Source organism: Homo sapiens, chromosome 10 (assembly GCF_000001405.40).
Source record: "Homo sapiens chromosome 10, GRCh38.p14 Primary Assembly".
Classification (NCBI taxonomy): Eukaryota; Metazoa; Chordata; class Mammalia; order Primates; family Hominidae; genus Homo; species Homo sapiens.
Window position 1 is genome coordinate 89,822,298 of NC_000010.11, and position 22,968 is coordinate 89,845,265.

At 39.5% G+C, this 22,968-nt stretch overlaps 2 long non-coding RNA genes and 1 pseudogene across 2 annotated transcripts, besides 1 other annotated feature; 1 reads left to right on the plus strand and 2 right to left on the minus strand.

Annotated features, from left to right (window-relative positions):
- Positions 1-1,222: 1,222 nt before the first annotated feature.
- Positions 1,223-8,524, minus strand: LOC105378424 (uncharacterized). The gene is made up of 3 exons (XR_946196.3): positions 7,735-8,524; positions 2,886-3,025; positions 1,223-1,469 (listed from the first exon to the last, which is right to left on the minus strand). It is a non-coding gene; the product is annotated as an uncharacterized LOC105378424 (long non-coding RNA).
- LINC00865 (long intergenic non-protein coding RNA 865) lies at positions 7,196-18,564 on the plus strand. The gene is made up of 4 exons (NR_038382.1): positions 7,196-7,448; positions 7,673-8,007; positions 12,904-12,960; positions 14,921-18,564. It is a non-coding gene; the product is annotated as a long intergenic non-protein coding RNA 865 (long non-coding RNA).
- Positions 15,579-15,638: a silencer, noted in NCBI's record as "silent region_2597". NCBI's record gives its function as "represses an Ori minimal core promoter by ATAC-STARR-seq in GM12878 lymphoblastoid cells {active_cell/tissue: GM12878}" and the evidence as "EXISTENCE:reporter gene assay evidence [ECO:0000049][PMID:35858748]".
- On the minus strand, positions 16,479-17,044 carry MARK2P16 (MARK2 pseudogene 16; annotated as a pseudogene).
- Positions 18,565-22,968: the final 4,404 nt, after the last annotated feature.

Below are 22,968 nucleotides of genomic sequence, written 5' to 3' on the forward strand. Positions count from 1 at the left end.
CACTGTGCCTGGACGACATGGACCTCTTAAGTGTGGACATGTGCAGTGTAATGCATTTAGAACAGAAAAATTCAAAATATTTTAAAAGGATGATTCTAAAATATGACACAGGAAAAAGACTCCAGGGTGGAGCAAATCTGCCGTCACAGAGATTCGCCAATGTAATTGTTTTCTCCGTGAAGACAGAAAACCATGATAATCAGTATGACATTAGATTTTCCAAAACTTCAGCTCTTGGCCATGCATTCATTAAATTCATATAATTGAATTAAATTAAATTCATATAATTTATATGTTTATTAAATTAAACTCATATAATTAAAATTTATATAACTAAATAAATATATAATATAAGTAAGTTCATATAATTTATATGTTTGGAGAGCACCTACTATACAGGACAGCTTGGGCACTGTGATAGATACTGAAGAAGCCTCCAAGGGACATGACCTGAGAAGTAGGCAGTGAGAGTGATGGGAGGAGACAAGTGAGGGTCTTTGACATTTGGGAACCTAGCGGTCAGCCTGGAGTGAGAAGTGGGCAAGGATCTCAGACACTCCTGGGAGCAGCTGCCACCAGGAAACTTCTAGTGATTGTGTCCAGGGAAAGGTTGCCTTTTCTGTTTATTCTAAACCATTTTATCCAGCTAGAAGTGCCTATCATGCTATTGCGTGTTCTTAGTCTCTGTGCTTTATGCTTTACATATTTAATTTGGATAATGTTGCACTTTATCTGAGCCTTGTGTTTCTGGAAAGCAGCACCTGTTGAGAATTTTGCCCATTCTTTTGTATCCCGGGAAATGGTTAACTGCAAAAGAATACCTTGTCCTCGCATCTTGCCAAGGTAGGAACTGTCTCCATCCCTCCTCATGATTCAAGGATAGCTTCTTTGTCTACCCAACTCTATAAAAGCCCAGAACCCCTTCCCTTTCTTTCACAAAATGAACATTCTCCTCATTGCAACAGCCTAAATAAAATCATCTCCTTAATTGTCTGGTGAATTTTGTTTTTCACAATTTCAAGTAATCAATTATAATAGAATATTTATTTGATCACTTATACTTTGTGCTTTTGCCATCAGGCACTGTGCTGGGCTGCAGATGTAAAGCACTGAGCAAGGCAGACTCTCTCCCGGCCCCCCAGCTCACAGGCTAGTAGGAGCATCAGATGATCAAACAAGGAATTATGAAACAGTGGATTGACTGTTGTGATAGGTATACAGGTGAAGTAAATGAATTACTGATTGTAAAAAAAAAAAAGAATTTAACCCAGTATTGAAAAATGCAGTGTTTGAGTTGCCGTTAAATGTTTCTTTGACGTACATCTTGAAATACAGAAATTGCTTTTATTGAGGAACAATAGGACTCATTATATAAGGGCCTGACTCAGCTGTGGGGAGGCTGGGCCATGCTTCTGTTCTGGCTGCTCAGAGGACTCCCAGAATGGCTGGAAAATGGTCACATGGATTCCCTGGTTGAAGGTAGAAAAGGGAAGAATATGACTGACACATAAACCTGAGTTTATCTGAATTTTTGATGTTTGGCACAGGGCACTACGAACTTGCTAATGGTCTATTGAGAAGACAAAATTGCAAGCCAAGGCCTTGGAACAAGAAAGCATTAGAAATATTTTCTTCGATCCTATTTTGTCTGGTGGATTACCATGGCAATGGGCTACTGGGAAGAGACAGTTAGTTCTACTAACACATTATTTTGTATGTGAAAACTTTGCTCAGAATGGTATTTGGTCTAGGACTTTGCCTGACTTCCATAGTGTGGGGAACTTAGTGTTTGAATAACATTGCCTAACAGATTCTGGTGTTCAAGTGTTTTCTAAATTTTAAAACCTTACCTCAGGACCTTGAAATAGGCAATGATATGTGGAGATACAGATCCTGGCTGCTATGAGCACATAAAAATAATAAATATGTTTAAATAATAATGCTTTAAAATAATAACAAATATTTTTTATTATTAAGATGATGAATAAAAATGATTAATATAAAAGTGATCAATTGTAAAAATTCAGAGAAAATAAATAACAAGAATGAAATAGTATTTATTAGTATCTCCTCCCTAACAAGGTAGTTATTATTTTACCCTCATTTTACACATGAATCAGCTAATACTAAGGTTCACCACTCAGGTCCGTTTGACTGCAAAACTCACACTCTGCTATATTGTTTCCAATTCTTGACTGTCATATGAATTCTGGTCACTGCCTTGAAACTGACTACTATAAAAGAGAAGTTGCCCCAAACCTGGTGTGGGAAGGAATCTTTTTACATGATGTAATTTGCAACCTCATTCTGAGAAGAAATTAACATTCCTGACAAAATGCTTAAGTAATATTCTGGAAAACATTAATGGACCAAAGTCTTGTTCTAGGAAACCAGTCACCTATCTACCCCACTGAATGACATTCAACAATCTAGTGGCTTTTAACAAACATTCTCTTCTTTTTGTATTTTCCTATCAAATGTTCTTATGAAGAATGTATTAATATTTCTGATTGGCTTACTGGAGGCCTTTGTCCTTGAAGCAAGATTGTAACAAACTTTGACAGTGCCCATAACTAAAATGTCTGAAGGGTTTTTGTGAACACTCTAGACTGGTGTATTTGCTGTGGAATCAAACTTTCTTATCAATCCAGTGGATGTGGATCCCCTCACCTGCCTACTGCTTACCAACCTCCTCCCTGCTTCTTCGTCATTTCTTCCACCCCTCAGTATTTCTGTTCCTTGTTGATCTGGACTGGAGACATTGAGATGGCCTAGGCCCACCCAGTTGGAGCCCTGTTTTGGAGTATCTTTTTCCTTAGATGGTTGTGAGTCACTTCTCAAAGGCCAAGTGGAATTTTTCAGGAAAAATATCATGGGAAGGATACCTCATGAGGATAAGCTTAACTGTCCAAGATTTATCCTGAAGAGAGGGAAGGATGCACTGGGAGATAAACACCTGGCTGTTTTAAAAGGTCATTCATTCACAGTCTGATCTGGCTATCAATAGAGACCGTTTCACTGAATCCTGGAACACAAGAGAGAGTAGTTAGTTACCTTTGCAGCTTAAGAATGCTTAAGCCAAGTAAGAGAAAATACCACTTCCTCTGGTGGACAGTAAGTCAAGGGAAATATTATGAGTTTAAAAATGTTTTTATATATTCACAAATAAAAGAACCATGATTAAGAGACTCTGAAATGCTTGGAGAAACACTGTTCTTGTTAACATTATAGTTAGGGGCAAATCACCTCCCAAATGAATTGTTGAAGATGCTATTGGCCTGAATGGACCATTGATCCAATCCAGAAAATTATCATTTCTTTTTGTTTTGGCTGGAAGGCTTAGCTTTTAACATTTTGACAACAATTATAGAGAAAGAGCAATATTGCTTATTTAGCATCCTGCTGAATTTCCTTATTGTAGAATTTTCATCTAGAGTTTGGGTAACTCTAAAATGCTTCAGAGGTATTAACAACATTGCAGTCTTCACCAAGTGAGGAAAACCTACAAAAAATGTGTGTGTAGGTGCAATGAAAAATTTTCAAGTCAATGTAAATGTGTTATAAGAGTGGAGAACCTGGAATTTTTAGAAGTAACTCAGCCCTAATACTTTCTGTCAAAATATAGAAGGCCACAGCTTTAGAAAATAAATACAAAACCTCAAACTTCTGTCCCTTTGAAGAATAAGAAAATATGAAACATAAAAATAAAATATCTGGAAAATACAGAGACATTTTGTTTTGCATCTTCATTTTCTTATTATTGACAAATTGAAAATTCCTGTTTTGTATTAAGCACAATGTTTGCTGTCATAAAACGTTTAAGCAGTGTGATCTGGGTTTATTTTTTGGAGTTGCCATCAGGGAGGACAGATTGCTTTTTTAAAAGTTACATTTCATTTTTTAAACCTTGAGCTAAAAAGCCTTTGGAGAATTGGGGGCACTGTCAGTGAGGTGCCTAACTCCTAGGGAATAGAAATAGAATGGCCTGGATGAAATATTTTTGTAAACTTCTCAAAATTCAAAAGTGTAACTATATGAATTTACTTTCTATTTAGTCCAGTGGATAAAAAGTGAAAGTTTGCCTTAAGGTTCAGAGTCTTGTGCTAAATTTGTTCAAAATTTCATGTGAAATAGTTACCAAATGGATACTTCCACCACACTTATCTACTTATGGTATCTGGTATTAAAAATAAAACCAAAGGAAGAAAAAGGCTGCTAATAATGGCAATGAAAACAGCTCATTCATTGGCTTTATTCCTTAGGCAAGGATTTCCAGAGCACCTTGATAGGTCTTAAGGATGTCAGATAGTGGGCATAGAGTGATGAGGAAGACAGGCACCATCCTTACCCTCATGGAGACTCTAGTTTAGTAGGAGAGGCAGGCCAAATGTGCAAAGGCCTGCAGGAGGCAGGAAAGGGACCTAAATTTGTGAAATGGTGTGAATTGATGGGAAGTGTGACAAACCAAAAAGAGAATGCACTGATTAAAGCTTTTCAAAAGAAATACTGTGTGGACCATGGAATGCATCTGTAAGCAGATTAGTCCTACATACCATTTGAAACCTCTACATTAAAGGAATAATTGCACAAATAACCATGCTAACCATGCAGGAAATAAGGACTATAAGGCATAATCCAAGATGTCATGAGAAAGTATAGTCATGATTCCTGACTATAATTCCTGAGGAAGTTGCATTTTACCAGAGACCCGAAAGATTTGATTAGTAGACTTAGTAGGCAGTAGGGACTGGAGACAGAAGATTTAAGGTGAATCTAACAGTAGAGGGCACAGGATATCTGAAACTTCCATGTGATTGGAGCCCAGTGAGTGAGGGGGGGAAGCAGCGAGGGATGAGCTGAAGTTTTAGGAGCCAGACAATGTAAGATTGAATAGGCTATGTTGAGAATTTAAACTTACTCTAAAACTAATGGGAATTTCTTAAAGGATTGTAAAAAAAAGGGAGGATTCGATCATATATATATATATATATATATATACACACATATATATGTATATATACATATATATGTATATATACGTATATATACATATATATATTACAAGCATGTTCTTATTGAGGTGTGGAGAATTCAGCAGAGGAAGAGGTCAAGGTGGGATGTGGATAGAACAGTTAGGAAGCTGTTGCAGCAGTTCAGGTGAAATGGACTGGGCTTTGGTCAGGTGGTTGGCCATTGAAATACAGAGACATTTTATCATTTGGGATTTGGAGTAGCTGTAACTGAAACTCCAAATTACAGTGGCTTGGACAGATATTTATTCCTCTCTCGCATAACTGAAATCTGTACATAGCCTAGAATTCAATTGGTGGCTCCACCATTCTTAGGGACCAGATTCCTTCCATTTTGTCAATACGTGACTTCAACCTCCTCATTGACGGTGGCTGCTTTAATTCCAGTCATGTTGTTTTCATCCCAGACAACGTGAATGATGAAGGGAGGAAAAAAGATACATCCCTTTCCTGTAAGAGAATTTCTAGAAATTATACGTGATGCTTGCAGTTACAGCTCATTGGAAAGCACTCAGTAGCATGGCCCCATGTGATTACAATGGAAGATAGACAATAAAATGTTTACTCTAGGTTACTACAGGTCTAGTTGAAAATCAGGACGTCTATGACTAAGGTTGAAAGGAACAGAAAACGTTGATAAATAGCCAACATCTGTAATACAAGTAGATAAAGTTGAGACTTGTTTTGGAAATAAAGTTAGCAGGATTTGATAACTGATTTAATGGGGGTTGGGTGAGGACAAGAGAAGGAACAAATCTCATTTCTACTTTTCTGAGACAATCAATGGTAGTACCTTTTTGGAAATGAAAAAAATGAAAAAAGGGGCAGGTTTAGGGCAAAGAACAAAAATTAATTAGCTGTTGGGAGCTTCCTCAAAATTATAGAGGGAGCAATTTATCAATTTTTTGTTGTTGTTCCATTCTAGAGATGTTTTATGCCCATATAGGAATGTGGGTGTGCATACCTGATATGTGTGTATACACACATATTTTATTTTTACAAAAATGGTAGGGTTTAATTATACCATTATATACCTAAAATCCTTTACTTGATATATATTGGGGATCTTTCCATATAATTGCATGAAGAAGTGCCTTACTATTTTTAATCATCACAGAGTATTTCATTGTATGGCTTTGCCATAATTTATTTAACCAGTTCTTATCTGTACATTTGTTTCTGTTTTTTTCAGATTATAAAAAATGCTGCAATGAATGTCTACACTTTAAAGTAAAATTGTTGGGTTTAGGGGCACATTATTGAAAATTTTGGCTTGCGTATTTTTTTCATAGAGGTGTCAGCAATTTCTACTCCCACTGGCAATATATCGGGATGCCTGTTTTCCTTTACTCTTGTCAACTCAATGTGTCAAGCTTTCTGATGGTTAAAATAATATTAGATTTTTGTTTTAATTTGCTTTTTCTTAGCAGAAATGAAATAAAACACTTCACATGTTTAAAATGTTTTATTTCTTTTTCTAAACATGTCCTCATTTTTGCTATTGGATTCTTATTTTCTTATTTAATTGAAGGAACTGGTTATACGTTAGATTATCTGTTTTGCAAATATTTTCCTGTTTATCCTTTTTTGTCCTCATAGTAAATTTCTTTCTATAAATTCAACTTATTTACTATGAATAGCTTCTTGTTATTAAGTAGGTTTAATACAGTTACCACGTTGGTTTGCATGCTTTAAACTTTATTCTCCTCTGTAAAATACATCATTTTACAGAAATGAGCTCATACTGAATATATCTTTTAGGTTTCTGCTTTTATTCTCACTTAATAATAAAAATCTTTCTAAGTCATTCATTGTTTTAACAAATTATTTTTAATTGTTTCATACATTATTCTGTCATTTGGAGTTAACAATAATTTACTCAAGCAACCCTCCCGCTGTTGCATAATTAGGTTATTTTCATTTAAAAAAAAACCGATATAAGCTACAGCCATGGTAGTTTCACTATGATAAAGTCCTCAAAGTAAAATTTGGAGGTCATTGTGCAAAAGTACTCTCCTTGTGCTTCAATGCTTCCCGCAGCTAGACCAAGCTCCGCGGGCAGGAGCTGGAGTCCAAGCTAGGGGAAAGAAGGACCTTCCGGGCCCATAAGGCGGGAGGCAAGGAGGGCCCCTGGGCAGCCCCGCGCTTGCGCGCCAATCACGGCCGTTATGGATTTCGATACGTTACCAAACGGTCTCCTACAAAGGCAGAAACCGTTTAAATATTTCAGAAGGATTGATTTTCATTTTGCAAATATAATACTGGTTCATTTTCTTTCTCTTCCTCCATCCATTCTACTATTGAACATAAAACGTGTCAATAGTATTGTAGTTCAGCATGTATCTCAGGATATTAAAAGGGCAGTGTGACTCAGCTAGAAAAGGATGAACTTTCCCCAAAGATAAAGTGACCTATGCGGTAAGTCCTACGGGACTTCATATCCTCATTGGAGAGAGGTTTAGGGTGTTTCTAGTTGTAGCAGGGTTAGTTGCACCTTAGGTTGAAGCAAGATTTTGCTACTGGAAATTAAATATGGTAAAAGGAGGTGCTCTCGGCCGCCAATTTGACAAGGGATGGACCGTGCTGGTTTTGTATCAACTGGCCTAAGCTAGAACTTCATTTCCATTATGTCTCCATATCAGGTTTGGCCAAAAGATATATCTATGCCAGATTTGGGAAGCAGAAGTGAAAGAGTAACCGTTACTCTGTGTAGCTGGTGCGGAAGGAGAGAAGTGTAGATGTACTGCTTGTGGGCTCTAGCTTGTCCTCGCCTGCCTCTGTCTTGACTCCAGCTGGTGTCCTTTTCTGCCTGCCTTGCTGACCAACAGCAGCCCCAAACCCACAGTCAATGCAGAGGCAACAGCCTTCCATGCACTTCTTCGCCAGCTCCTGTTGTGGTCTCACTCTTGCAACTGGATGTTCCCAGTTCTCTATATGTAACCTGTGACTTTTCCTTCACTTGACTACTTCAGGAGAGGTGAATAGAGACTTTTCTCCAATTCTCCACCTTCCAACGGTGGCCTTACTTCCCCGTCTCCTCCCACTATTGTGCAAGGTCTAATTTTTTAATCCTTAGACTATAAACTCTGTGGAGGTAGCCACCTGTTTAGTTTACAGCTATAGTCCCAGCGCCTGGCACCCAGAAGACACTCATTAAATGTTTGAAGAATTATTAAAGCCCCCAATAATTGATAGCCCTTATTATTTATCCAGTACTTAGATTCTCAAATATGAAACACGAACAACTTGGTTTCATTATCTGGCTTAAAAAGCTTATCAGGGAAAAAGTTTTTAAAAATATATTTTGGGCAGCATTTGAGTCATTTCCCGCACCCCCAAACCTATGTCAGTCGATAGGAAGTCTGAAATTGCCTTGAGTTCTGTAGGCAGGACACTTCAGTGGGCTGAAAAGTGTTGGGCTTATACCTCACTGCTCACTGCTCATCATAACTCTTCCCCTCTTTGCTTGGATTTTTTTTCTTAAATATGCCATGGTCAGCAAAATTTTTATTTCCTTTCTTCTGTAAAGTGACTTCTTTAAAAACCCTAATTATCTTATACTACCTAAGTTTTAAATTGTCTGAGAGAAATATTTTCTTTTTGTTTTACCTAAGAGTGTCTTTTCAATTTTCTTTTATTATCTTTTCAAAACCATATCACTCAACCATCTACAGCTTAGTGTGCAGCATTGTGGTATGAATATGTGGCTGGAAAGTCAGGGATTTAAAAGAACTATGAAATATATATTTTGACTTTTGGGGATAATTTTCTGGGAACAGATTTTTAAATACCTCAAGCCTTTTTTATATACTAATATCCTACCAAATATATGCCATTTTAGCAGCTCATAATAGTTATTAATAAAATATTATGGTTGTTATTCTATTGTTTAACTCTTCCCCCATGTCTTCTCATGAAAAGCTCATATACATAATGTATATTGTATTCTTCCATACTGACTATAACATATTGACTGTTCCTGACCCTTCTGTTTAACCAGTTTTAGCATTTTTCACTTTCCTCATTTTCAGTCATTCTTCTCTTTTTGAAGTATTCCCTGTTCACTTCCATCAGGTTGGAATTTCACTTTGGCCTCACAGTCTACTCAATCTCTTTAATGTCCCATGAGCACATCTTTCATGGCATCTAAGTAGGCTACCATGTAATTCAATCATTTTTCACACTTCTTAAATGTTAAAAAAATTAATACATAAACACTTAGAAAAGTAGAAAATTCTTCATTTAATTATATTAACTCTCAACAATCCTTAAAGTTCTTTAATTGTAAATTTCATTAAGGTAACTTAGGTTCTTGTTCATAAAGTCAAAAAGTTGTATGTCATGTAATGCAAATTACACCATTATCCACTCTTCTCCATCTCTGATTCTCACTCTCCAAAGGCAACAACTTTCATCTCTTTTAACTGTTTTTTTTTCTATTGTTTACTGTCACAAGCCTATAATATACCTCTCATACTATTTATTTTTCAGTTTGGTTCTTATCTATTGCCTTTCTTCTACAAAAGATGAGGAGTTGGCTGTCTTACAACTGGGCATGTAGCTTCTTCTTTCATTTCTTAATCTTGCAATATCATATTTTTAAAAATCTTATCAGTGTTTAGTGTTTATTTTGACAATGTAAATATTATTCACAGATGAACTTGTAGTGTATTAGGTTTACTTCTTTTTTGTAGACCTTTGCTTTTGTTTTTCCTTGACTATGCATTGCCTTGATTTTTGTTTAGTTAGTTTTCTAAGTAGTTATTATCAGTTCATTCTGCCAAATTCTGACAAGTCTTAAGTGCCTTTTGATACATTCAAATGAAACTATCCAGTTTCTTTTATTTTCCTTTTTTTCCTGGAGGCCACGGTCCTAGGTACATTGCCTTCATGAGCTCCTTCCTCCATAAAAAATAAAAATTATTTTACAGCCACGTTGGTATAAAGGTAAATATGATCAGGGTGGATTTATTATCATATAGTCACTGTTATTATATTAATTTTATCTCCTAATTTTAAAGGAAATTAAAATGACGACATTTTTGTAAATTCCTAACAGCGTCATGGGCCCTCAAGCACTATGCCTACTCAGCCTAATGGATGAGTCGGCCCTACGGAAGGCATTCTTTGCTTCTGAACCCCTCTTTTCTCCTGTTCCAATCTGGACTACTTATTCTGTAGGCCCTGAGATGTTTTCTTACTGTTATCCTGACAATTCAATTTTTTTCTCTCATATATTGGATCCCCTATTTCTGTGAATATGTGGCTGGTTTTCTTTCTGGTAGTACGCCTTCATTTTGATAGAGTGCATCTTTCAGAAGGCTCTGCTATAGCATGTCTGGAGGTAAATATGAGGCCTTGCATGTGAGATAAATGTTTCAATCTACTCTCATAATTGGTTGTATAGAGGAAGAGTAATCATTTTCTTCAACAGTAAGTTCTTAGTTGAAATGAACTTCTGTAATACAAGACAGATCAACAAGAGAAAAACAGAAGTGTATTAACATGTGTATTTCATACATACACCAGAGACACCCAGGGAATGAGTAGTTCTCAGAATTGGCTTTGAATTCTGGCTGATATAGCATCTTCAATAATGAACAGCAAATTTCTGGAGAGGTAAAGGAAAAGAACTTTAGGAGTGGCAACTTGTGGGAAGGCAAATGCATAGCAAATAAAGGCTAGCTAGTAATGTTTGTTAATGGAGATTTCCCTGGTATCATCTCCAGGTGGTAACAGTTTAAAGTTGTCTTATGTGGTTATCTTTTGGTCTCCCTGGTAGAAGGGAGGCAGAATACTTTTAGTTTTTGTATGTCCTGCTTTTAGGCAAATAGAGGGATGGCAGAGAGCTTCTCTGCATCTGCTTCTTCTTAATTACCTGCAGCTCAATAATCCTTTATATTTTGGAGTAGCACAACAGATAGTTTGGCTGGATATAGAATTCTGGGTTGAAAATTATTCACCTCCTAGATTTTTTAAAACTGCGTACATCATATATGTTCATTGTAAAGAATGAAAAACATATAGAAAGAAGAAAATAAACCAAGCCTGAATGCTGCACCCTAAATTAGCCATCAATATTCTGGGATCCTTATCGATAAGGGGGTCAAATAGTCTGTTTGGAATGTACCCTGTCACTTGCTCCCTGGTTTTCAGAACAGTCTTACTGCCTTTAGGGCGACTCTGGTCCTAAAGTCCAGAGCTTTGCTGAATTGACATCTCTGGAGAATAAACCAGTTTACTGCCAGTGGGGAGTGGATATGGACTGCTAAGTATTGAGACTTCCAGTTCCCCTATTTTTCATCTTACCTGTTCCACCATTGGGCACATGCCACCTCCAATTCAGGGCTTTTGAGGGATTTGCAGCAGAAACTACTCTGTTTATATTTCTGCCACTGCTGGCTTAGGTTTTCGCTTTCTCATCTTTGCTAAAAACTGCTAATAAAACATCTGCATTGTTGCTTCCAAAATTGTATTGCTGTTGTCTCTTTGCCACTTCTATTCATTCTGTGGTTTGACCTTTTAAATTAATATCTTTAGGATCCTTATAGTGAGCTATGGGAGGGAGTAAAGGTATATGTCCATGTTCATTTTCTGATGATTAGTGGGAAGTGTCTCATAACATTCTTGTATACATTTATTTTTTATTTTTTTGAGATGGAGTCTGACTGTCACCCAGGCTGGAGTGCAGTGGCCCAATCTCTGCTCACTGCAACCTCTGCCTCCCGGGTGCAGGCAATTCTCATCCCTCAGTCTCCTGAGTAGCTAGAATTACATGGACACCACCCTGCCCAGCTAATTTTTGTATCTTTAGTAGAGATGTGTTTCTCCATGTTGGCCAGGCTTGTCTCAAACTCCTGACCTCATATACCTTGACCTCCCAACATGCTGGGACTATAGGCTTGAGCCACCGTGTCTGGCCTTATATACATTTTTATACACTATTTTAGTGCTCTAGAATCCTTAGGGCAAAGTAACTATGTGTGTGGTATGTCTGTGTTAAGGATAAGATGGTATCAGCCCTAGAGTCTGATGCATAGTTGAGCCTTAATTTTATGCTATTACTATATTTATTTAATCAAAAACTTATCTTCCTTACTCCTTTTCCTCACATATAAGTAGCTTAAGTGTTAAAATATATTCTTTCTTCACACAATGACATTAAATCTATGTCAAAACAATTACCTTTCCAGGAACAAATAGAACCTGTCTTGCTTGGAACTTAAAAATAATTTTTCAAAATCCAGCAGAACATCTCTCCTTTTTGTAAAGCATGATTATGTCCTACCTACACACATTAGGAGAAACTATACCTTAAAAATATAGAAAATTTATGTTGGGGTGTGGCGATTCATGCCTGTAATCCCAGCACTTTGGGAGGCCTAGGCGGGCAGATCACTTGAAGCCAGGAGTTCAAGATCCACTGACTAACATCATGAAACCCCATCTCTACCAAAAATACAAAAATTAGCTGGGCGTGGTGGCACATGCCTGTAATCCTAGCTACTTGGGAGGCTGAGGCATGAGAATCACTTGAATCTGGGAGGTGGAGGTTGCAGTGAGCCAAGATCATGCCATTGTACTCTAGCCTGGGTGATAGAGCAAGACTGTATCTCAAAAAAAAAAAAAAGAAACAAACAAACAACAACAACAAAAAACAAAAAAACTGTATATATAGAAATTTAAAATATAAAAATTTATCATAGCTGTAGACATAAAAGTTATAAAAATAAATCTACAATCATTTCAGTTTTTATTAACTCATTTACTTCTGATACTAATTAAAAATCTCTCATATAAGTCCATTTATAAGTCCAAATAGAATAAACAAATGTTAAGTATCAATAATATTTAAATTTTTTTTTTATTCCAGACTCTGTTGGGTACAAGTGACACAGAAAGTCATCTCAAACTAGCTGAAACACAAAAGGTAATTTATTTGTTTCAATACCTGGAAATTCCAAGAGTTTTTTTTAGCTCTAGTTATAGCTGGATCAAGATGAGTGTCAAATGATATAATGATATTGTCAGTGTTTGAGTGTCTTATCTATCATGTGTCTATCCATACATATCTATACCTACATATATACATATATCACACACGTTTTATAAAAAATTTATCATGTCGACAATAATATTTAAACAAATACCCAAATAAATATTAATCATTGAGTTTTCTCAGAAGGCTAAATCACTTACAAACAAAATGGAACATTTTTATATTTTTATAATTTCCTTCTGGTACTGTGGATCACAGCCACAGAAGGAAATCAGTCTAGTAATATTATAGATAGGACATTCACTGGTCCCAATCTGATTTACATTTTCTTATGGACATTTGTGAATTTTTAGCTCTGCTTAGCATCTAAAATCCAGTGTATGTTTGGAATCTTTTTCAACATTATTAGCCATAGTGTGGAGGAGAGACTGCCTCACCCAATGGGAGATGAAAATGCCAAACTCTTGCTTGCCTAGACTCCCTTGGAGCTAGGACATGACCAAGTGAGGTACATTCCACTAATCAGATTCAGCCATGGAAGCAGGAACCAGTAACTCAAAGAAGCAGGGACTGAGAGCCTCCATTCAGACTGAATTCCTAGTGCAGCTGTGGCAGCAGAGCTAGAGGCAGTGTCACAGTGCAGTAGTGGAGGGGTTGGTGGTGCAGGCTGTAGAGTCTTTTGCTTGTTAGTGTTGGTAGGGATGTCAACATTAGGTGAGCTGTGTCATGTCTTGGTGAGCCTGTGTTTCATAGAACCTGGCTCTTCATACATGCTGGCAATGTAATCCACCCAATATCATTATCACAAACACCTTTCCCATTGAAATTAACCTGAGTTGGTTTCTGTTGCTTGCAGCTGATGAATGGATGACCTTCTCTTCCTCTATGTCATCTCCTTTAGTTATGTATTTATTAACTTAAATCTCATATTACTCTCTTTGGCCTCTGCTACCTGAATCTTCTGGTATCAGCTGAAGAGGGAGTCTGGGAGGCACAGAACTGGAAGTAAGGCCATACTGGGCCTGGGAGGCAGAGAGAGTCCTACTGGAGGGCCCTCAGAAAGTGAATTCAGCAGGCACCAGCCTCCAGCCACAGGGTCCTATGCCCACACTTGCTTCCACAAGCCTGGTCCAGGCCACCATCATGTCGCCTGGACCATGGCCGTATTTCCTAGGGTCTGCCTACTCCTGTCCTTGTCCCTGTAAACACTTTATCAAACACAGGGATATTGTTAAAACATAATCAGATCATGTCAATTCTCTGTGAAAACCTCATTCTCTCAGAGTAAAAGTCCTTATAGAAGCCTAAAGGCCATACATGGTACCCGCTTCCTCCGAAAAATCGCATTCTCTTTATTACGCCTTCGATCCCTAGGAGAACCTAAGTTCAAGAGGAGATGCTGGGCAGGGAGGGGCCAGCCACTTGCTAGGGTGCCCCAGCCCCTGTCTGCTTCAAGAGCCAAGTCATTTTCTCCTGGACCCCTCTGAGCTGAAGACAGGAAGAGCCGGGGGAGGGGGATCTCTTGGTCTGCGCCTCAGTTTCTCAAGAACAGCAACAGCAGAAAAATAAATTGAGAGATGAAGGGGCTACCACCATCCAAGTGGCCACAACCATCCACTCCCATGCCGGCCTGGAGTTAGCAGACGGGCGCCACTTTGCTCTGCTTGTCCCACGCCCATGGAGGGGGGACACCGTCCGGAAGTGAAGGCCAGGAAAACAGAGGGGAGAGACAGCGGGGTGGGGTGGGAGCAGTCGCTGCTGTGAACTCGCTGGAGCCCAGACTCACGCAACTAAGGGGCAGCAGTGGGAAGAGAAACGGAGGGGTGGTGGGGGAGCTGGCGCTCTGAACGCCTGTTCCTTCTGTTCAGACTAGTCTTTGTTTATTTTGCAGCGCAGGAAGGCGGAAGGGAAGGCGGAGACCGGCAAGAGAGGGGAGAAGGCCCGGGGAAGACGCTCGGGACCAAGATGCGGGGCCCGGGTGCGAGCAGCTGAACCTCTCGGCCCCCAGGCGTGGTGACCTGGGTGGCGACGCTCGTGGAGGCCGAGGAGCTTCTGGACCGGCGCTTCGGGGGACCAAGTGGAGAGGCTGCTGGAGTTGTCGCCTGAGTCCTCCCTTAGTTCTTCGCGCCGGCCTCGCCCACGGCTCCGGGTCCCAGCCGCCACTGCAGTCTCCGCAGCACCGAGCGGGGCTCCACCGACTCGCGACCTCCAGCCTCCGCCTCAAGGGCAGGGAGCGCGGCTGGGTCTCTGGAAAGCCATTTTTAAATCACTGCCTCTGCTGCCCCCATGTGAGGTCGGAGTGTCCTCCCCCGTCTTTGCTTTCAGGTTCTTTCAGGTTCCTTTGGGCAAACCCGCAGCTAAGAGTCCAGCTTGTGAACTTGAACCTGAACTTGCTGAAGAAGCTCCCGGCGGCCCCCTGCTGTCTGCGGCCTTTGTTTGAGGGAGAGGCTGGGGTCACCCGGTTGGGCCGCATTTCCGGGGCCGTCACCTGTCGGGCTGCCAGGCCGCGCGTACCTTGTCCCATCGGGGGCTCTGCTCTGCCCCCTGCGCTGATGACGCGGGTGGAAGGGAGGTATCAGGGGCACTCTGGGGAGCTGTACCTGGCGGGCACCCCCCAGCTGCTCTCCGTGGGGTACGACACCGAGACCTGGTTGGGCTGCAAGGAGACCGACTGGGATTCCCGGGCTGGTGGCCGGGGAGACGAAGGCGGGGGGTGAGAGGCAGGAACCCAGGAGGCCCCAGGCCCAGCGCTGTGGGGCTGCTGTTGTCGTTCTGCGTGGAGGTCTGGCCAAACTGGCTTTTGCCCCGAGTGAGGAATTCCTGCTCTTTTTTGGTTTTGGTAAGAGGTCGCTATTCACAGAGGGGGCGGGGTTCGTCCCCTCCAGGCGAGTACGGGGCTGGCGGGCGCAGTGCTGCCTTTCTGCTCTGTCTCTTGATCCCGCTTAGGATCTTTGTGGCTCCTCTGAGTCTTCTTAGAGAGGCCGTGAAAGATGGGAAAGGCAGGTTGCTGAAACGCTGCTGCTCGGGGCTGGCAGAGACCCTGGTATAGGGAAGGCGCACCACTGTGGGTCAGATCAGCTGACAGTGGGGGTTTTAGGTGATGGGGTAACCTTACAGTTCGGATCTCTTAGAACCCAGAAGCAGGTAGGCGATCGCTGCTTCATCACACTTCACAGGGAGTCCTGGATCTTTCCTGTCCGTAACCCATGGACGCCATGATTCAGTATGGCGGAGGTCCGGGGCTTAAGTTCCTGTTCATGCTTCCTAATCATTCATGGATCCATCACAATGTGCTCTGAAGGGCCTCTCTTGCTGGGATTGAGAAGGATACATTTTTTGAGCAGGTTTTTATACTCAATGGACATGTAGAAGGGAATATATTCTACTCAGTTCCCCTCCTGCAGCTCCTTGAAATTCTGTCCATCAAAAGCAGGGATCTGCTGACCAGAGGTGACTGCCACAGAAGGTATCCAGTTTGTAAAAGCTGAATTTGTTGCTGAAGCCAGAATTTGCAATCTTGATGTTTGTGTTAACATCCAAGAGCGTGTTTTCTGCCTTTAAATCTCTGTGGACAATACGTTTCTGGTGACAGCTTGCACAGCAGACACTTTTGGTAGAATTTGCTTCAGTCCTTTTTTTTTCTTTCCTGCTGCCATGAGCAGGTATTCACAAACTTCTCCTCCTGGCTAGTGTGCTTCATGACAAAGCAAAGAGATTCCTCAATATCGATCACAGCAAATGTTTCACTATGTTGGGGTGATCCGAGCCTTCATGGTTCCTACTTTGTGGATGGTGTCTGGAGGAGATCTGCTGAGTCTCATCAATGAACTTCACAGCTGCTGCTTTCCCAGTTAAGAGGTCCCAGGCCAACCTTACCTTAGCCAGGTTGCCCTTGACGATGGTCTCAAGGATCCTAGCTGCCAGTAAGGGTCCCTTCTCAGCAGAGATGGCTGAGAGGCCCTGTGGCATGTGAGACTTACTGCTGGGCTTGGAGTCAAGGTGTCCCAGGTCAGCTTAATTTCGGGAAAAACTGGTAAGACGCTTGGTTCAAATCACTTGAAAAGAAAATCACTTGCATAGTTCACCTGAAGAATGGATCTCTATAATGGAATTAAAGCACAATGCTGGACAAAAAGTAAGAAAAAGCAACAAACTGAAAGGAAAAATTGAGTAAAAAGAATAAAGAACTAGAACTGGCAACCTCAGCCAAGCCAGGGAATTACATACATCTTGGAATTCCAAAGCAATGCTTCCTTATGAGGGCATAGGAAGAAATAAATCTAATAACAAGGCTGGGATTAATTCACGTGGTTTTCTCACATTTTGGTCTCAAGAACTTTTTACTCTAAAACTAATTATTGAGGACCCCAAAGAGCTTTTTATGTGGGTTATAGTTATCAGTATTTACTTTATTGGAAATTAAAACCTGTAGGATGTTTCAGTGGTCTTTTCTAGTTTGAAGGGTTTAATAATTTTTGGCTTTTAAAGAGCCCATAATCAATTAAAATATTTTATTTTCCTTTAAATTGTAAATGATTGGTGTCATAATGATGCTACAACTTAACTGGCATTACAATACTATACAAATACGTTCTATTGTATAAGTCACAATAAGGTACATTATTAACTCTATAACATTTAGGGGAAGATAGCTGTTATCATATTATTTAAAGTTTTGCCTAGTTTCTTTGTAGTAGACTTATCTTTTCCAGGAGCCAGAGAACCCGCTATATCAGTTTCAGTATCTTTAAATGTAGAGATTGCAGCTGTGTGTTGAGAAAGCACGTTTCACTTAGCATGGGATGGGGACTTCGAGGTACTGGATATGTCACTGGCACCTCAGGGGAGGAAACCAAGATGCCCCTATATGATTTTAAACATGGTTTATTAAAGCGTGATACAGAAAAGTGCACAAATTGTCCACCTACAGCTTGGTGACTGTTCACAAATTGAACTCATCTAACTAGCCTCCAGAATAAGAAACAGGCCTTTACACACCCCCACCAGCCTCCCAATCCCCTTTTCAGTCACCTTCTCTGCAGTGATAACCACTATTCTATATTCTGACAGCATAGTTTCACTTGTTTTTTAACTTCACATAAATGGGATCAGACAGTATTGAATCCTTTGTGTCTGCTTCCTTCACTCAATATTTTCCTGAGATTTTTCTATATTGTTTATTCTAAATGCCCATTGTACGACTGTAACACAATTTGTTTATCCATTTTACTGTTCTTGGGCATTTGGGTAGTTCTCACTGTGGATGCTAAGAAGAGTGTTGCTATAAACATTCAGGTCTTTTGGTAAGCATATACCTGGCTTTCTGTTGGCTATTTATACCTAGAAATAGAGTTGCTGGCTTATAAGGTATGCATATTTTTAGTTTTAGTAGACATTGCAGTTTGTACCAATTCACCCACCCACCAATGTGAATATCTAATATTGCCTGCCTGTCTGTACGTGTGTACTGGTATAGCATTGTGGTTTTAATTTGCATTTTCCAGTGCCTAATGAAATAAAGCACCTTTTAATATGCTTATTGGACATATTTTTTTTCTGTGTTGTGCCTATTCAGTATTTTGCCCATTTTTCTGTTGGGTTGCTGGTATTGTTCTTATTGGTTTATGGGTATTCTTTAAATATTTTAAGTATTCTTTATTTGATATGTCCCTGTATTTCCTCTCTCCTCCCTCATCCCTGTTAACTCTCTGATGTCACTTCCTGCTATTTTACCCATGGATCGTCCCTTTCTAGCTACTAGAGTTCTTATTCCTTGAACATGCCAGCCATATTCCTACTCCAGGGCTCTGCACTAGCTCCAACTTATGCCTGGAATGTTCTTTTCCACGGTCCACATACACAAAATTAGAAATATAAATACATAGGATATTAGTATAAAGGCCCTTCTTTGGGTATCTATCATCCGACACCAATAATTATCAACATTTTGCAATCTTATCCATAAATACTTCAGTATTCACCTTTAATAGATAAATATCTTTTTTAAACACAGACACCATGCCATCATCATATCTAACAATAGTACTGTATAAGACCAGTCCATATTCAAATTTCCCAGTTATCTCAAAGACGTCTTGTTACAGTTAACATGTTTGAGTAAAGGTGTAAACAAGTTGTACATGTTGCTTTTTTTTCTATAGCAATATCACCATTCAAAATACTGTATATTTTACTTATTAAATTTGCCTTAAAATTTTTTTATATTATTTTTGTTTTAGGTTCAGGGGGTACCTGCGCGTGTTTATTACATGGATATGTTGTATAATGGTGGGGTTTGGACTTCTAATGCACCCACCACTCAAATAGAGAATTTTTCAACCTTCACCCCTCTCTCACTCTCCCTGCTTTTGTAGTCTGTGTCTATTATTTCCATCTTTTATGTCCGTATGTGCCCATTGTTTAGCTCCAACTAATAAGTGAGAACATGTGATATTTGGCTTTCTGTTTCTGAGTTACTTCTCTTAGGATAATGGCCTCCAGTTCCACCCATGTTGCTGCAAAAGGCATGACTTTATTCTTTTTTAAAGCTGCATTATATTCCATGGTGGATATGTACCACATTTTCTTCAATCTGTTGATGGACACTTAGGTTGATTCCATGACTTTTCTATTGTGAAAAATGCTGTGATAAACATATACTTGCAGTTATTTTCTTATATATGTATTTTTTTTTTGAGACAGAGTTTCGCTCTTGTTGCCCAGGCTGGAGTGCAATGGCTCGATCTCAGCTCACCGCAAACTTCGCCTCCTAGGTTCAAGCGATTCTCCTGCCTTAGCCTCCCCAGTAGCTGGGATTACAGGCATGCACCACCACACCGGCTAATTTTGTATTTTTTAGTAGAGATGGGGTTTCTCCATGTTGGTCAGGCTGGTCTCGAACTCCCGACCTCAGGTGATCCACCCGCCTTAGCCTCCCAAAGTGCTGGGATTACAGGTGTGAGCCCCTGCACCTGGTGGCAGTTATCTTTTTTATGTAATGATTTCTTTTGGGTGGATACTCAGTAGTGGAATTACTGGGTCAAATGGTAGTTATATGTTTAGTTCTTTGAGAAATCGTCATACTGTTTTCCATAGAGGTTTTACTAATTTGCGTTCTCAACCAGAGTGTGTAAGTGTTCTCTTTTCTCCACATCCACACCAACATCTACTATTTTTTGACTTTTCAATAATAGCCATTTTGACTCGTGTAAGATGATGTCTCATTGTGGTTTTAATTTGCATTTCTCTGATGATTAGTGATGTTGAACATTTCTTCATATATTTGTTGGTTGCATGTATGTCTTCGAGAAATGTCTGTTCTTGTCCTTTGGCCACTTTTTGATAGGGTCATTTTTTTTTCTTGTAGAGGGGTCTGAGTTTCTTGTAGAGGCTGGATACTAGTCCTTTGTTGGAGCCATAATTTGCAAATTTTTCTCCTATTCTGTGGGTTATCTGTTTAATCTTTTTTTTTTCTATGCAGAAGCTTTTTAGTTTAGTTAAGCCCCATTTATCTGTTTTTGTTTTTGTTGCATTTGCTTTTGAGGCCTTAGTCATACATTCTTTGCCTAGGCCAGTGTCCAAAAGAGTATTTATTTTCTAGGTTTTCTTCTAGGATTTTTATAGTTCCAAGTCTTACATTTAAGTCTTTAGTTCATTTTGAGTAATTTTGTAGAAAATGAGAGATAGGAGTCCAATTTCATTATTTTGCATATGGCTAGCCAGTTTTCCCAGCACCTTTTATGGAATAGGGTGCCCTTTTCCCATTGCTTATTTTTGTTTACTTTGTCAAAGGTCAGCTGGTTGTGGGTATGTGGCTTTATTTCTGGTTCTCTATTTTGTTTCATTGATCTATGTGTCTATTTTTATACTAGTACCATGCTGTTTTGGTTACTACAGCCTTGTAGTATGATTTGAAGTCAGGTAATGTGATACCTCCAGCTTTTTTCTTTTGCTTAGGATTGCTTTGCTAATCTGGCTCTTTCCTGGTTCTGTATGAGTGTTAGAATTGTTTTTTCTTTTTCTGTGAAAAATGACGTTGGTAATTTGATAGGAACTGTACTGAACCACAGATTGCTTTGGGCAATAAATTATTGCCATATTAAAGATATTGATTCTTCACAATTCATGAGCATGGAATATTTTTCTTTTCTTTTTCTTTTTTTTTGAAACAGGGTCTCACTTTGTTAACCAGGCTGGAGTGCAGTGGCACAATCATAGCTCACTGAAGCCTCAACCTCCCAGACTCAAGCAATCCTCCTGCCTCAGCCTCCTAGGTAGCTGGGATTACAAGTGTTAGCCACCATGGCTGGCTAATTTTTAATTTTTTTGTAGAAACAAGGTCTCTCTATGTTGCCCACGTTGGTCTCAACCTCCTGGGCTCAATGGATCCTCCTGTCTTGGCCTCCCAAGGTGTTGGGATTACTGGCACGAGCCACTGTGCCCAGATGGGATGTTTTTCTGTTTGTGTCGTCTATGGTTTCTTTTATTGGTGTTTTGTATTTCTCCTTGTAGGAATCTTTAACCTCTCTGGTTAAATATATTCCTAGGTATTTAATTTTAGTTTTATTATATGTAGCTATCGTAAATGGAATTGAATTCTTGATTTGGTTTTCAGCTTGAGTGTTATTGGGGTATATAAATGCTACTGATTTTTGTACATTGGTTTTGTATTCTGAAACTTTACTGAACTTTACTGAAGTCATTTATTATGTCTAGGAGTATTTTTAAGGAATCTTTAGGGTTTTCTAGGTATAGGATCATGTCATCAGTGAAAAGAGATAATCTGACTTTTATTTTTTTTTCAGTTTGGATGCCTTTTATTTCTTTCTCTTGCCTGATTGTTCTGGCTAGGTCTTCCAGTACTATGTTGAATAGGAGAGGTGAGAGTAGACAGGCTTGTTCAGTTTCAGGTCATAGGGGAAATGCTTTTGGCTTTTCTCCTTTCAGTATGATGTTGGCCATGGGTTTGTAATGTGTGGCTTTTATTATTTGGAGGTATGTTCCTTCAATGTCTAGTTATATCATGAAGGGATGTTGGATTTTTATCAGATGCTTTTTCTGCATTTATTGAGATATGTTTTTTGTTCTTAATTTTCTTTATATGGTGAAACACATTTATTGATTTACATATGATTTACATATGTTGAACCATCCTTGCATCCCTGGAATAAAAACCACTGATCACTGTAATGAGATGAACAGGGTACCTCAGTTAGGAATGCAGAAATCATCCACCTTCTGCGTTGGTCTCACTGGGAGGTGCAGACTTGGGCTGTTCCTATTTGGCCATCTTGCCAGATCTCTCCCCCAATTCCCTGATTCTGTCAACAAAGACCCTGTGCTCAGATGGGAAGTGCCTTGTTTAAGGTTACACAAACATAACTTGAGCTTTAAGTAAGTGTGAGCCTTAGGAGAGGAGAGAGGAGAGAGGAAAGAGGAGAGAGGCCGGGTTTGGCAGGGGTGGTGGAGTGACTGTGGGAGAAGGCAAACACAATTTATGAAACAGAGTGTGTGTCATAGATTCAGGGAAGGAAGCAGGCCATTTATCTGAGGTGGATGGTTTGTGTAATGGAGTTAGCTGTGAGATGAGATGGGTAAGAGGTTGGGGCCAGATTATGGAAAGCCTATGTATGAAATGAGGAGCCATTGAAAATGTTTGAAAGGAATGCTAGGAGATCACAAGAAATAATAACTGAGAATTACAGCTGATCCTGAGGTTGCTCAGAGGTTTGCTCAGAGGTTGCTCAGAGGCTTTCATTCTACTTTAACCATAACTTAACAATAAAAAATACATTTTACACTGAATCAGCACATGCACACACACACACGCACACACACACAGAAACTTAAGCTTGACAAGACAAGGATTAACCTATGTGTGCTATACTCTATTTTCCACTTCATTCCACTAAACTCTAAGCCTCCCTTTTTTGGAGACTG